The sequence below is a fragment of the Homo sapiens genome, chromosome 2, assembly GCF_000001405.40.
Source record: "Homo sapiens chromosome 2, GRCh38.p14 Primary Assembly".
NCBI lineage: Eukaryota > Metazoa > Chordata > Mammalia > Primates > Hominidae > Homo > Homo sapiens.
In genome coordinates, this window is record NC_000002.12 from 239,491,029 (window position 1) to 239,504,319 (window position 13,291).

At 53.0% G+C, this 13,291-nt stretch overlaps 1 long non-coding RNA gene across 1 annotated transcript, besides 2 other annotated features; it reads right to left on the reverse strand.

Annotated features, from left to right (window-relative positions):
• Window positions 1-2,518: 2,518 nt before the first annotated feature.
• LOC124908011 (uncharacterized) lies at window positions 2,519-5,683 on the reverse strand. Its single transcript, XR_007088272.1, has 2 exons — window positions 5,511-5,683; window positions 2,519-5,408 (listed from the first exon to the last, which is right to left on the reverse strand). It is a non-coding gene; the product is annotated as an uncharacterized LOC124908011 (long non-coding RNA).
• Window positions 10,365-10,866: an enhancer, noted in NCBI's record as "H3K4me1 hESC enhancer chr2:240423087-240423588 (GRCh37/hg19 assembly coordinates)". NCBI's record gives its function as "activates a minimal SCP1, AML or CMV promoter by ChIP-STARR-seq in naive H9 embryonic stem cells {active_cell/tissue: H9 hESC(naive)}" and the evidence as "EXISTENCE:reporter gene assay evidence [ECO:0000049][PMID:30033119]".
• Window positions 10,867-11,366: an enhancer, noted in NCBI's record as "H3K4me1 hESC enhancer chr2:240423589-240424088 (GRCh37/hg19 assembly coordinates)". NCBI's record gives its function as "activates a minimal SCP1, AML or CMV promoter by ChIP-STARR-seq in naive H9 embryonic stem cells {active_cell/tissue: H9 hESC(naive)}" and the evidence as "EXISTENCE:reporter gene assay evidence [ECO:0000049][PMID:30033119]".

Below are 13,291 nucleotides of genomic sequence, written 5' to 3' on the forward strand. Positions count from 1 at the left end.
CAGGAAGCCCCTTAGGTGAGGTTTGTGAGACCCTCTCTTAGAGGAGACATGCTTCCATCGTAATGCAGGAGGAATCCTGGTTGGAAGTGAGTGATGGTTATTTTAACTGGGTGAGTCTTATTATCTGTGTTAGTTATCTATTGCTGTGTAACACAGTTCCACATGCCCAGTGGCTTGAAGCAGCACACATTTATGGTGGTTACCGTGGGCCAGCAATCCAGGCACAGGTTCGCTGTGTCTTCTGCCCCAGGGTCTCACAAAGCTGCCGTCAAGTTTTTGGCCCAGGCTGGGAATCTCATCTCAAGGCTCACCTGGGGAAGGATCCACTTCCACACTTCTGTGGTTATTAGCAGAATACAGTTCCTTGTCAACTGTTGGACTGGGGGCCTGTGTTTCTTGTTGGCATTTGTGATGTCAGCTTTATAACAGTGAAATTTTATATAAGTTACAGGTAGTTATGATGGTAGATATTAAATACTGTGGCAAGATCCACCACCTGAAGAACTTCCTGAAAGTGGGTGGCCAAGGACTGGTTGGAAACTTTATAGAACAGGGGTGAGCCTGGTGATGGGCAGAGAGTTTGGGAGGGAGACTTTTGGGGCTGGCTGCTGGGAGCCTGGAGCCCTTTCCTGGTCCCTTACCACCAGCCAAGTGAGGGGAGCTTCAGCAGGCATGTGTCCCCTACAACAGGGGGTCGGAGCGATGCCCCTGAGGAAATGAAGGCGGATAGAAGGCCATGCTGGAGGGAGGAACAGATCTGGTGCTGGGTGGGCAGTGGCTGCAGGGGCAGCATTTGTGGGTGGAGTGTGCCTGGTGCTGCCGGGACCACCGCCCATGTGTCCGTGGACCACGTGTGTGTGAGAGTGGAGGCGCGGCATATCCTAGGGCCTTCTGAGAAGCCTCCTTGGTGGGCGAACATCCCCGACAGCAAGAAGCTGGAGGTACCATGGGAACGCGAGGGTCTGGGGACAGAGAGCCTTGTGGAATAGAGATGCCAAAGAACCAGCCTGGAGCACCTGCTGCTCCAGACACATGCAATGTCTGTTTTTTGGCTGCAGTAACAAATGACCACAAACTGGGTGGCTTACAAGAATAGGAATGTGCTCTCAGCACACAGGCTTCCCCAACGCTGGAGGACACAAGTCCAAAATCAAGGTGCCAGCAGGTCTGTGCTCCCTCCGGAGCTCAGGGAAGGAGGCTTCCTGCCTCTTCCTGCTCCCAGTGGCTGCAGGGTCTCCACAGCTCGGGACTGCGTCCTCCCATCTCTGCCTCTGTCTCCCAGGGGCCCCTGCTCTCCCCCCTGTGTCTCCTCCTCTTCCTCTGTCTCCTATGGATACACCTGTCCTTGATTTAGGGCTCTCTTGGGTGAGCCTGGCTGGTTTCATATTGGGATCCTTCATTATATCTGTAAGCACCATTTTCCCCCCAAATAAGATCACACTCATAGGTTCTAGGGATTGGAACTGGACATTTCATTTTGGGGGCCGCAATTCAACTTATGACACCAACTTACAAGGGAGTCATTGGGAGACTTTCCTGCCATACCTCAGCTTCTCCTCCAACCCAGAGGGCCAGAAACCCAAGGCTGTGCAGGGGGGCGGAGGTGGCATAGGTGGAGAGAGAAGGTCAGCCCCAGCCCAACAGCCCTGATGAGGCCATCAGGGACTTTATGGGACCCTTTAGTATTGAATACCTGGCATGTTCATTTGATTTCACCACGCTTCTAAACATCCCTCCCACCTGAAATGATTTTCTTGGCTAATCTCACTTGTTTATTTTTTTTTGGACAAAATTCAGAATTATTTTGTTAAGTTTTCTCCAAAATGTGACTGGGATTTGTATTGAAACAGCACCAAACATCTACATTAATTCTGGGGGAATAGATATGTTTTCCACACTGAGTCTTTCTTTGCAGGAACAAAGAATAAATCTCTGTTTATGCAAATGTTCTTTCACTGCCTCAGTAAAGTCCGCAAGTAGTAATAGGCTCTGCGCTCTTCCTGTTAGGTTTGTTCCTAAATGTCTGCTGCTTCTCATTAATAGAATTTGTTTTAATTGTTCTAAGTAATAATTGCTTATATATAGGAACACTCATGGTTCCTGTTTTTAGTTTCTTAGTATATTAGTCTGTTTTCATGCTGTTATAAAGAAATACCTGAGGCTGGGTAATTTACAAAGAAAAGAGGTCTAATTGGCTCGTGACTCTGCAGGCTGTACAGGAAGCATAGCGGCTTCAGCTCAGCTTCTGGAGAGGCCTCAGGAAACTTACAGTTGTGGTGGAAGGCAAACGGGGAGTGAGGTGTCTCACATGGCCAGAGCAGAAGGAAGAGAGAGAAGGAGGAGCCGCACCCACTTTTAAACAATTAGATCCCACGATAACTCACCCACTCACCATCATGAGAACAGCACTGAGGGGATGGTGCAAACCACTCATTAGAACTCTGCCCCCATATCCCACCAGGCCCCACCTCTAACACTGGGGATTACAATTCGATGTGAGATTTGGTGGGGACACAGATCCAAATCATATCAGTTAGCATGTTTATTAGTTTTGAGAAGTTCTCAATTTACCACTTGGGTTTTTTAGGCTGACAGCAATATCACCTGGTTCTTATAGATGTGATCCTGGATTTGTTTCTAGCAGAGCCTGCATTGTGACTGGTAAGTGTAATTCCCCTTAATAAAGCATTATTGTTAGCGTTTACATGCCGTGTCGCCGTTTACAGCCGGTTTGTAGACAGAAATCCACAGGTAGATGGTTTCGATACTTCCTGTTGGTCCTTTTTTCGAATGACTTCTCTATTCTCAGCTTTTAAATGTTGACTGCCCTTTGGGCAGAATTGCTTATACCTCTAAAAAGTCTTCTGGGGAAGGGTTCCCGGTTCATATACTTAAAATCGGGCCTGTCTGGGAACGCCCTCCTGTGGCGTGGAACGTGGCTGTGACGAGAGCTTCCACCGGGGCCTTCTCCTTTCCGTTCTCAGCAGCACAGGCACCCTCGGCTCTTTGAGGCTTTATGTTATGGAAATTCAGCGATCCTGTGTTCACCTTCACCTAGTCCTTCTTCACCTTTGTGGGTTTCTTTTTGTTGATTATTTCTGCCCTTGTAGCTTCTCTTAAAAAACCTTCCGTTCCCCCTTGACTTTCTCATCCTGAGGAAATCTAGCCCATTGCAGTGTTTGTCCTGGGGACGCCCCGCTGGCTGCCTTTCTGTTCATTGCCTGTCTTCCTGCCTCTGCGAGTGACACCAGGGTCTCTCATCTCCCTCATTTGGAACCAAGTTACTCTTTCCGCGAAACGTTGGTTATAATTCCACCTTTCCTCTATTTCAGTACAGACATACCTGAACCTTTCTAGTGGAAGTTGCATGAATCAAGTGATGTCAGTTTTCTGTGTGGTACAGGCTTCCCTAGCTTAAAAAATATTTCCTTTGGACTCTGGAAAGGGGAGCTAACTACCTATACTTACCCTGCCATTTACATGAAAGCCACCAAGGGGAAGGTCTTGTTCGGTTTTGCTTTTTTAATAGATGATCTTTTAGAACATTTCTGTGTTTATAGAAGCACTGTGCAGGAAGTACAGAGAGTCCTTGTATTATTCCACCCCCCCCCACCCACCACCCTTCATACAATTTCCCTTATTATTCTCTTGCATTTGTGTGGTGTCTTCGTCATAGTTGATGAGGCCATGTGGACACCTTATCATTAACTAAAGTCCATAGTCTCCTTTAGGGTTGGTGCTTTATGTGGTACAGATCGATGGCTTTTGGCAAATGTACAATGTCATGTACCCACTATGACAACATCATATGGAAGCATTCCTCCACCCTAGTGCCCTGGGCTCCAGCTACTCATCCCTCCCACCTTGCCCTGAACCCGTGGCAACTACTGATCTCTTTACTGTTTCTGTAGTTTGTTTTTAAGATGGGAGAGAATGGATTGTATACATAGGATGAGGGGAAACAGCCAAAAGAGAAGAGAACCTGGAGATTTCAGGAGGGAAAGCGTGCTTGATGGGGTGAGGTTCCTGGGAAGGCAGGAGAAGATGGGCATGAGGAGCGCAGAGGTGGCTTTGTCCTGGAGACAGGCAGGCTCAGGGAAGCACGTTGAGTGGGAACTGCCTGCTGGTTCTATTATTTCAGTTGAGTTCCAGGGTCAGCTCCGGTCAGTATGGGGGCTGGTGAAATTGTCTCAGAGGGGAAGGAGAAGCAGCCAGAAGGGGACAGAGGATGAGTATGTAGATTCTTGGCTGGGCAGCAAGGAGCACTGGCTAAGGCTGGAAACTGGTTTGTACGCAGTAGCCACTAAAATCCAGGGCTGGGCTGGGGAGGCAGGACAAGGAGCAGAAGTTCACAGAGGCTGGTGGTCGGCGGGAACACAGGCCTGTGCAGGGCTGCAGAGAGTGAGAAAGGGTCTGCCTGGGGCATGGCTTCTCTTCCAAGGTGTCCAATGCCACCTCTTGTTTCATGAGTCCTGACCATACCTGGACAGCACACAAGAGTCAGGTGATGCCTCCAATTTGCAGAAAGCAAGACTGGTCTCCATTTCTCTCCGTTTGGGGAGCTGGGCTGGAGATCTTAAGGAACCAGAACAAACGTAAGCCACTCCTCTTCAAGCACTTTTGCCCTTGAAATACGTGCCCAGAACAAACATCTCTTTTCAAACAATTCTTTGAATTCTTTTTTTCTTGGGGGGGTGATTAACATTTTGTGTTTTCATAGAAGCCATATTCCATCAGAGTTATTCTGCAGCACTCTTTCAGAGCCAGGGCTATTTTTTAAAAAGCATTTGGCACTCTGAAGTGTTACATGTGGCTTAGTGAAAACAGCAATATGCAGAGATTCAAAAGATGTCACTCCGTGTTAGGGACAAAACGTGATCAGCTTTAATTATTCTCCAACACAAACACTGACTTCAGCGGTGGGGCTGTGGGAAGCAGGGGCCATCTTTTCAGGAGAGTCGTTCTTTGTACATAGCCTTCAGGACTTGACCTCTCAGTGACTTTTGAACTGCTTAACAACAGAGAGAGGGAGGGAAATAAAGCCGTCTCCTGGGCACGTGCTTCAATAAGAACAGCTGCTCAGAGCAAGCCAGTGGACTAGGCAGGACCCCCTAACTGCAGCCTTGTATCTGACAATGGCAGGAACACGTCTGCTTCCCCTGTGCTGGTGTCCACCCACAGACAGGAGCCTCGGTGGCCACACTGGCCCTCCCTCTGGCTTCCTTGAAGAAGCCCTCACACATCCGTGGTCTTATTGAATTGTTGCAACGGTCCTTGCAGAAAGAATTAGTATTACCACTACCCTAAAGATGGTAAACAGAAGTTCCCGTAGATTAAGTGTGGGAGGCAGGAGCTGAACCGAGGTTGTTCTCTCCGCAGAGACCATGTATGTGAGGCACGTTGGGCTCCTGTAACAACCATAAAGAAAAAACATGGTCATGCTCAGTGCCTGATCCAGGGAGGAGCTAGAACAATGGAAATCATTACAATTATGGGTTAAGATTGCTCACAGATGTACCAGTGGGCCAGGCAGGCAGCTCGTAATGTTCTTGTTGAAACCTGTGCGAGGAATAAGTGCCTGTCCTCCTAGGAAAAGGCTCACGGTTCTTCGACCACAGTAAAAAATTAACCAGAATCATTTAAATCCATTCCAGTTGATCAACAGCTTTCTGCCAATACACAAAATCCAGTCAATCAGTGATAGCCCCACTCTCCTGAAAGCCAGCCAATCAGGGACAGCCCCACCCTTCTGAAAGCCAGCCAATCAATGACTCCTCACCATTCTGAAAGCCAGCCAATCAGTGACAGCCCTGCCCCTCTGAAAGCCAGCCAATCAATGACATCCCTGCCCTTCTGAAAGCCAGCCTATCTGTCACAGCCCTGCCTTTCTGAAAGTCAGCCAGTGTCAGCCCCGGCCTTCAAAAAGCCAGCCAATCCGTTACAGTCTCACACTTCTGAAAGCTGCCAATCAGTGACAGCCCTGCCCTTCTAAAAGCCAGCCAATCAGTGACAGGCCTGCCTTTCTAAAAGCCAGCCAATCAATGACAGCCCTGCTCCTCTGAAAGCCAGCCAATGAATGACAGCCCTGCCCCTCTGAAAGCCAGCCAATCAGTGACTGCCCCACCCTTCTGAAAGACACCTCATCAAAATAGCCTCACTTTGGTACCTGGGATGCCACCGCTGAAGGTGGACCAGGTGTACCCTCTCTAAGACTGGCTCTTCCCTGGGGTGGAGGACCCCTGTCTCTCTGGCTTAGCAAACCGTCATTAGGGCTTCTGCCTGGGCAGAGCTGTTTCATGCCGAGGACTCACTCCAAGAAGCTCCTGCCTGGGGCAGGAAGCAGTTACTTGGCGGTGGCAGGTGTCCCTGTGTGTGATGGGACTGACCTCAGTGTGGGGTCTCTGAGCTGTGGCCCAAAGGAGGAGAGTCCACAGGGCCAGAGTACCGAGAGGCGAACTCCTGTCCGTGGGAACGCCTATCGTGGGCTCCCCTTCATGAATGTACAAGGCGAACAGTGTGTCCGGCCCTGCCCCTGCGTCCTGATGGCCAAGGTCAGGGCTCTTTCCCCGTCGGCATGGCCTCTCCCAGGCAGCGGTGAAATCACCCAGTGGAGGGTGGTGGGTCTCCTTCTGAACACCCTGCTTTGTGAGGACACCCATCAGGTCAGGTCTACTAACTTCAAGTCTGGGCAAAGGACAAAGCACAGGTGGTCAGGAGGACCCCATAAGAGCCAATACCAATCCAAACTGCCCTGAACGCACACCTGCTCTGCCTTGACAGTTTGTAGACAGCCTCCCCACACCCTCCGTTTCCACACAATTACTTTCTGCACATCAGTGCCCCTGAGAGGGTGGTCCAGTGACCGAGCGGGCACAGTGGCTGCAGGGAGAAGTGGCGGGGCCCAAGCCTTCACTGTCATTGTCGTGTAGCTCCCGTGGGGTGTTTGTGGTGGGAAACACAGTAAGAGACTCGAGTCTTGCTGAGAGTGAGGTCTTAGAAGTGTCCGACCTCTCCTGTGGCATCCCAGCAGAATTCCTACGGAGGTGCTGTACTTAAGGTCTTGAGTGGCCCCTGGACCGGCCTCCACACAAAAGATCTTGACATGGTCCGTCATATTCCCATTGCTTTTATCTTGACGACAGGCCCATGACATCTGTGCCACTAACCTGGAGCCTTCCCCTGTCTTCAGCTGCCTCCTCCCAGCACTCTTCCAGGGGATACCACCACCTGCCCTCCTACATCCCAAATCTGCAGTGAGGGTCCAACCAGGCAGTGAATTCCGAGTCTTCTGCAGCCAGCCCAGGGCAGGCTCAGCTCCTCTGACTTGGCCACATCCAACTTTCCCAGATCATAGTTCCACATGTGACGTAAATGTAAACAATTGGAGGACTTCGGGGAGCTGGCTCTGCTCGGGGCTCCCCTGAGTTGTGGTCCACAGAGACAGGGCAGCAGGTCACTTGGCTACTGATGATTGGTCCACACAAATGCAAATTTAAAGGGCAGCCTTCATTATTTCACTAAATGGTAATGATCAATGCGTTGATGGTGATGTTCAGTTCCGCGTGTGTTTGTGGAATATTTGCCATGCATGAGGCCTGCACTGGGTTCCGAGGACAATCTGGGCCGGACTGCAAAGGGAGGTGGGGCCACACCAGTTCGAGGACAATCTGGGCCAGACTGCAAAGGGAGGTGGGGCCACACCGGGTTCCGAGGACGATCTGGGCCGGACTGCAAAGGGAGGTGGAGCCACACCGGGTTATGAGGACAATCTGGGCCGGACTGCAACGGGAGGTGGAGCCACACCAGGTTATGAGGACAATCTGGGCCGGACTGCAAAGGGAGGTGGGGCCAGGTTCAAGGAAAATGAACGCCGAGTGGGACCGTGTCTTGCTCATGTTCAGGCTGGAAGATGTTTGTGCCTGTCAGGAAGGGAAACCTGAACTACACGGAGGGGGATGACACGGGGGCTCTGAGGGTTGAACCCCGGTGGCTGGACCACAGGAGAGCTTTAGGGAAAGTCAAGAAAGCAGAGGCAGGCCCTGCTCACCGCACAGCAGTGGTGTGGGCACGACGGCCCAGGGGCCATCTGCTCTGGCCTGTTTGCATGGGAATGCATGAGGACATAAACAGCCCGATTCCATGGGAACAACACAGGTGGAGGAGGTCGACATGGGGCCGTCCCCTTGTCCCCTTACATCTCCAGCTGGGTGAGCTGCTGGCCTGGCCGGCAGGGCAGTGGCTCCCGGCCTCTGACGTCCCCCGGCCATGGCTGAGGCTTCCCAGTTCTTGGGTTTACGTGGAAGGATCCTGAGTCTTTAGTTGCGTAGAGGACTTGGAGCTTAGAAGAATGGCAACTGGTGTGGTGCTTCGTTGGTCTTGGTTTCCACAGCTCTGATGTAATTCTTTGGAATTGGGTGGGAGTCAGCACAAATCCAATGGGGACGAGTGGTGGTTTGGCCCAGAGCCACCTGGCTCCACCGGCACTGCTCTCGGGCAGATTCAACAGCAAAGCGTCCGGGAGAAAGCCTGGCTTTTCATTATTCTGGTGACCCTGACTGAGTTTCCTTCCTTGGGTGAAGGTGAGGGGGTCTCAGCTTTCCCATCGGTGGCCCAAGGATGCTGGGGTTGGGAGCATGGGAGTTCTGTTCCAGCTGTGAAATGCTCCTTCTCCGCGTCTAAGGCCAAATGAGGCTCTGGGATAGCAGGAACCAACTCAGAGTGCACTGCAGGTTTAGAGCCAAGATCTGGATGAAGAAGAGTGGCTTGGACCCTCATTTCTTGGAAGGCACGAGGCAGCGGAGGCCAGCATCTCTCCAAGTGTTTGGGGTGGGGTGTTCTGAGCCTGGAGCCTCTTCCCAGCTTGGGTGGGTGGCAGAGAGTAGGATGAGAGGAAGGACCAGGGTGCTGTGCCGGTCCCCAAGGTTCTGTGGGCTAGGGACCTCTTGCTTCTCCCTTCTCTCCTTCTAGGGTTTCAGTCTTTGATCAGCCCACAGTGGGTTTCGGACTGCAAGCTGCCTGTGATGAGTTGCTGGCTACAGCCACGTGGAGCTGCGGGAGAAGGACCAAGGCTGAACAGCAGCCAGCACATTGGCCTTTTCAGCTTGATCTTAATTTGTCAGAAAATGCTCCCTTCTCACCCTCAGCATTTCATGAGATGCTGAAAACCTGATGCCCTAATGTAGTGGATTGCAATTATTCTAAATTAGGCAGAAAAGCACATTTCAGAGAGTTTCTCCCCATCTGTCTAACTTGAAGTTTCTGCTGTTTGTAATGAGTCATTTCTTCAGCACAGACTCCTGGACCGAGAGGAATTTTCTTATTTCATCTTTGCTTTTCCATTGTGTAGAAGCTTGAAGCCTCCCGCTCCTCTCCCAGGGCCAGAGCTTTGGCTCTGAGGACGGACTGAGCGTCCTCAAAGCCACAGGCTCATAAACAAGACCGAGGACGAGGAAGTCCTGAGATGGGCAGTCAGGGCAACAGAGGGCAGGAGGAGGTGGCTGATGTTGAGGCAGACGCAGGAGGTGCTGGCATCTCTGCTCCCAGTTCCCACCCTCGTGTCACACACCAGCTTTTACTAGTGACCACAGAGCCATGCTTCATGCTCTGCTTACAAGTGACAGAACTTGTTGCACCCAAAGGGAAACTTGGCAAGGTCCCTGCTGTCCTCTCTTCATCCTGGGGAGGCGTGGACTGAGGCACCTGCTCCGGTCACTCTGCTGGACGTGGTGGGCATGAGGCATGGCCTCAGGGACCCTTGGACTCCATTGCCTCCCCTGTCGGTGGGGGCTACTTTCAGGCTGTGGCTCAGGAGGTGGTTTAGGGTTAACTCTGCTCATGGACCTGGGATCGGGGAGGCACAGGGGGCCCAGCTCTGTGGGCATTTGCTGATAGTGTCTCAAAATGCTCTGTAAGGTCCACTAAGATTTGTCTTGAAGCCACGTTAAAGCATTTTTAAGGTGGAATTCACATAACATAAAGCGAACCCTTTTGCAGTGTCAATTTCAACAGCATTTAGTACATCCTCGGTGTTGTGCAACCACCATCTCTGTCAAGCTCCGAAACAGTTTCATCACCCCCAGAGAAAACCCCGTCCCCATTAAGCTGACTGGAAGCCACTTTTGACTTCCCTCTTGAACCTTCAGGCACAGAAAATGAAGAAATTCCCCTCAGTGGTGGTCAAGGGTGAGGGTGGGTCAGGGAGGGCTCTCAGGGGGCTTCCGAGCCTGGAGCCTCTTCCCAGCTTGGAGAAGTGCCCCGGGCGGCTCACAGCACCACTGACTACCTGGTTTGACACAGAGACTGCACGGGACAATGCTACAAGCGTGACTTGGAGTGTTCGTAGATTCTCCCTTCCTCTATTCAGCTGGTGGCTACGTGACCTTGAGCAAGTTACCTAACTTCGTGAAGAAGGAACTTCTAAGAATACTTCCCTGCAGGCTGAGGTGGGGCCCACATGGGCATCGCGGGTGAGAAGAACCTGCAGGCTCTCGGGAAATTGCCTTCTCCATCCTCCTTGAATGGCTCTGACTCCGGTTTGGAGGCGGGCAAGGAAGGCAGATAAAGAGGGAGTTCTGGGTTGGATTCTCTTTCTGTTTGGTGCCCTCCGGTGAGCTAAGGACAAGGAGACAGGATGGGACCAATGTTCTCCTGGACGTGGGACTGAGGCTGCTCCTCCAGTGTGGGGAGTGGGAGATTGGTGTTGTAACAGGGGGAGGGGCAAGGGAGGGAGAGGGGTAGGAGGGACAGCTGGAGAGAGAGAGGGCCTCAGGTCCTGGTGACACCAGACCCCATTGGAATGGCTGCTGCAACCTTCTTGGTCCGGGGTGGACTGGTCTGTGTCCCTGTTTATATGTCGTGCAAGCCTAGCCCTGCTCCACCCTCTGTGGGGAGGGCCCTTTGTGGCCACTGGGCCGATGGCTGCAGAGCCCCCCAGCTGCAGCCCTGCCCAGCTCCTTCTGCTCCAGCACTTCCACAGTGCGGCCACTGTAGGGTGCAGCCATTGAATGAATGAGTGCGGGCAAATCCGCATCGACAGCTTGCTGATTTGAACCGAAATCTGGGCTACAGGTGAGAGAGGCAAGAATCCAAGGAAAGGATGGAGACCAAGAGGCTTAGTGAGGTGGCCAGTGGGGGCGTCTGAGTTGGATGGAAGCCGCGTGACTGACCCAGTTCCTGAGGCTGCGGGGCAGGCTGGGCTCATGGGGAAGGATCTCATTGCTCATTCATGCCTTCAGGACCCTCTCCTGTGGCCTGAGCCTTCAGCAGCTCTGCCGTCTGCCAGATGCCAGACCCTGGTGTGTACCTTATCATGTCCTCAGGCCTCCGCGGTGCCCGTCTCTCCATCTCGTGGCCCAGGCCTCCGTGGTGCCCATCTCTCCAGCTCATGGCCCAGGCCTCCACAGTGCCTGTCTCTCCAGCCCATGGCCTAGGCCTCCACAGTGTCTGTCTCTCCATCTCGTGGCTCAGGCCTCTGTGGTGCCCATCTCTCCAGCTCATGGCCCAGGCCTCCGCTGTGCCTGTCTCTCCATCTCGTGGCTCAGGCCTCCACTGTGCCTATCTCTCCAGCCCATGGCCTAGGCCTCTGCAGTGCCTGTCTCTCCAGCTTGTGGCCCTGGATGCTGGTGGTGCACACCTGGCAGCGTGCCCGGCCCATGGGGAGCTCAGCAAACCCTTGCCAACAGGCGGTGGGTTCCCAAGGGATCCAGCGATCGGATGAGTAAATGAGAGCCTGCAGAAGCACTGCCACCCTTGCCTTTTCTTTTTGGGTCATCGAGGTGGCAGCCCATGTGTTGATTCTGCAAGCGTAGACACAGCTCTTGAATAATCACATGGAATCGCTTTACCCAGAGAGGCCCAGACACCTGTGGGAGGCCAATCCAGCTTCCCGCCAGAGGCCACTCAGAGGTGCTCATGTGCCCTCGGTTTGGGTGCCTTCCAGCATCCAGCCCACAGGAAGGGGAATTCTAAGTGCCTGCCGGTCACCCTGGTCTGCACTTACTGGCATCGCTCTGATTTGTTGCATGGGGTGGGGAGGAGCCAAAGACAGCATTGGAACAGGGGACGGACCAAGCCTCCACCCTGGTGGCCTTTCTCCTGTGTGGGAGGCAGGCTCCCTCTCCGTTTTCCTCCTTCCCGGAAGCTCTCGAGGGCAGGACTCATCTGCTCAGCTCACGGCGGCAGCTCTGATGCTGGAACAAGGCCTGGGTAGATGGATGGATGTTTTCCCAGTGGGGGTCTCTGAAGCCTACCTTATTCCATCAAGAGCAGGACCAGCCTAGATGGGCTATGTTGGCTGCAGGATGCACAGAGGACAGAGACTGCCCCAAAGGGAGAGGGAAGGCAGAGCCAGGACCAGCCTAGATGGGCTATGTTGGCTGCGGGATGCACGGAGGGCAGAGGCCGCCCCAAAGGGAGAGGGACCAGCCTAGATGAGCTCACCCGTGGTGGGAGGGTGGCGTCTGATGGGGGTGGGTGGAAATGGCTCATCTTGGCATCCATGCAGCAAACCCCACAGCCCAGGAACCCCAGAGGGGAAGGGACAGGTGTCCAGTGTCCACCGGGATGGCAGGAGTGGAGCTGGGGTGCCGGGCAGGGAGGTCCACAGAACTCCATGTGGGGCTTCATCCTCAGTCCCTGGGCCCCTTTGGTGCCCACCCCTGCTGGCCCCCTGACTGCACGCAGCTCATTGAGGAAGGCAGGGTGGCAGACTCGTGGCGTGTGGTGCTAGAACAGGCCCCAGATACCCACAGAACACGCCTCAGAGAGGCTGCAGACCTGCCCACAGCCACACCGCCAGACAGCTGGCCCTCCACTCTAATCTTCTGACCCCACTATGCCCTCCTGCCCACACGGGCCTATGTCTTGGGTTTCTTTGATAGAGAAGAAAATTCTCCTAGGATACAAGAGCCTCAACATTTTAAAGATTTTCTGCATCTCAAAAGCGTAGGCTCCTTGCTGGGCAAGGTGAGCCTCTGTGAGTCCTCATAGGACCGAGCAAATCTGATTCACCCCAGAAAATCCAATATCGAAGCTGAGCTTTGGCCTGAGCGGGTTCCATTTCCTCCCCAGATCCTATTTAGGAAGTGTCTCCTGACAACCTCCAAAAGGTGCTAACATGCAACGTTCTGAAGGGTTATTGCTCAAAAACAAGATTTTCCTTGTGGTCAAGACTCTGCGAGCCTCGAACACGATGAATCCGCTCGAATGGGCTTGGGCTTTGCCCGGGTGGCGCACGCTCACACGCTGGAAGCACAGCTTTGACGATCTCCACACACGCACAGGCACACACGCC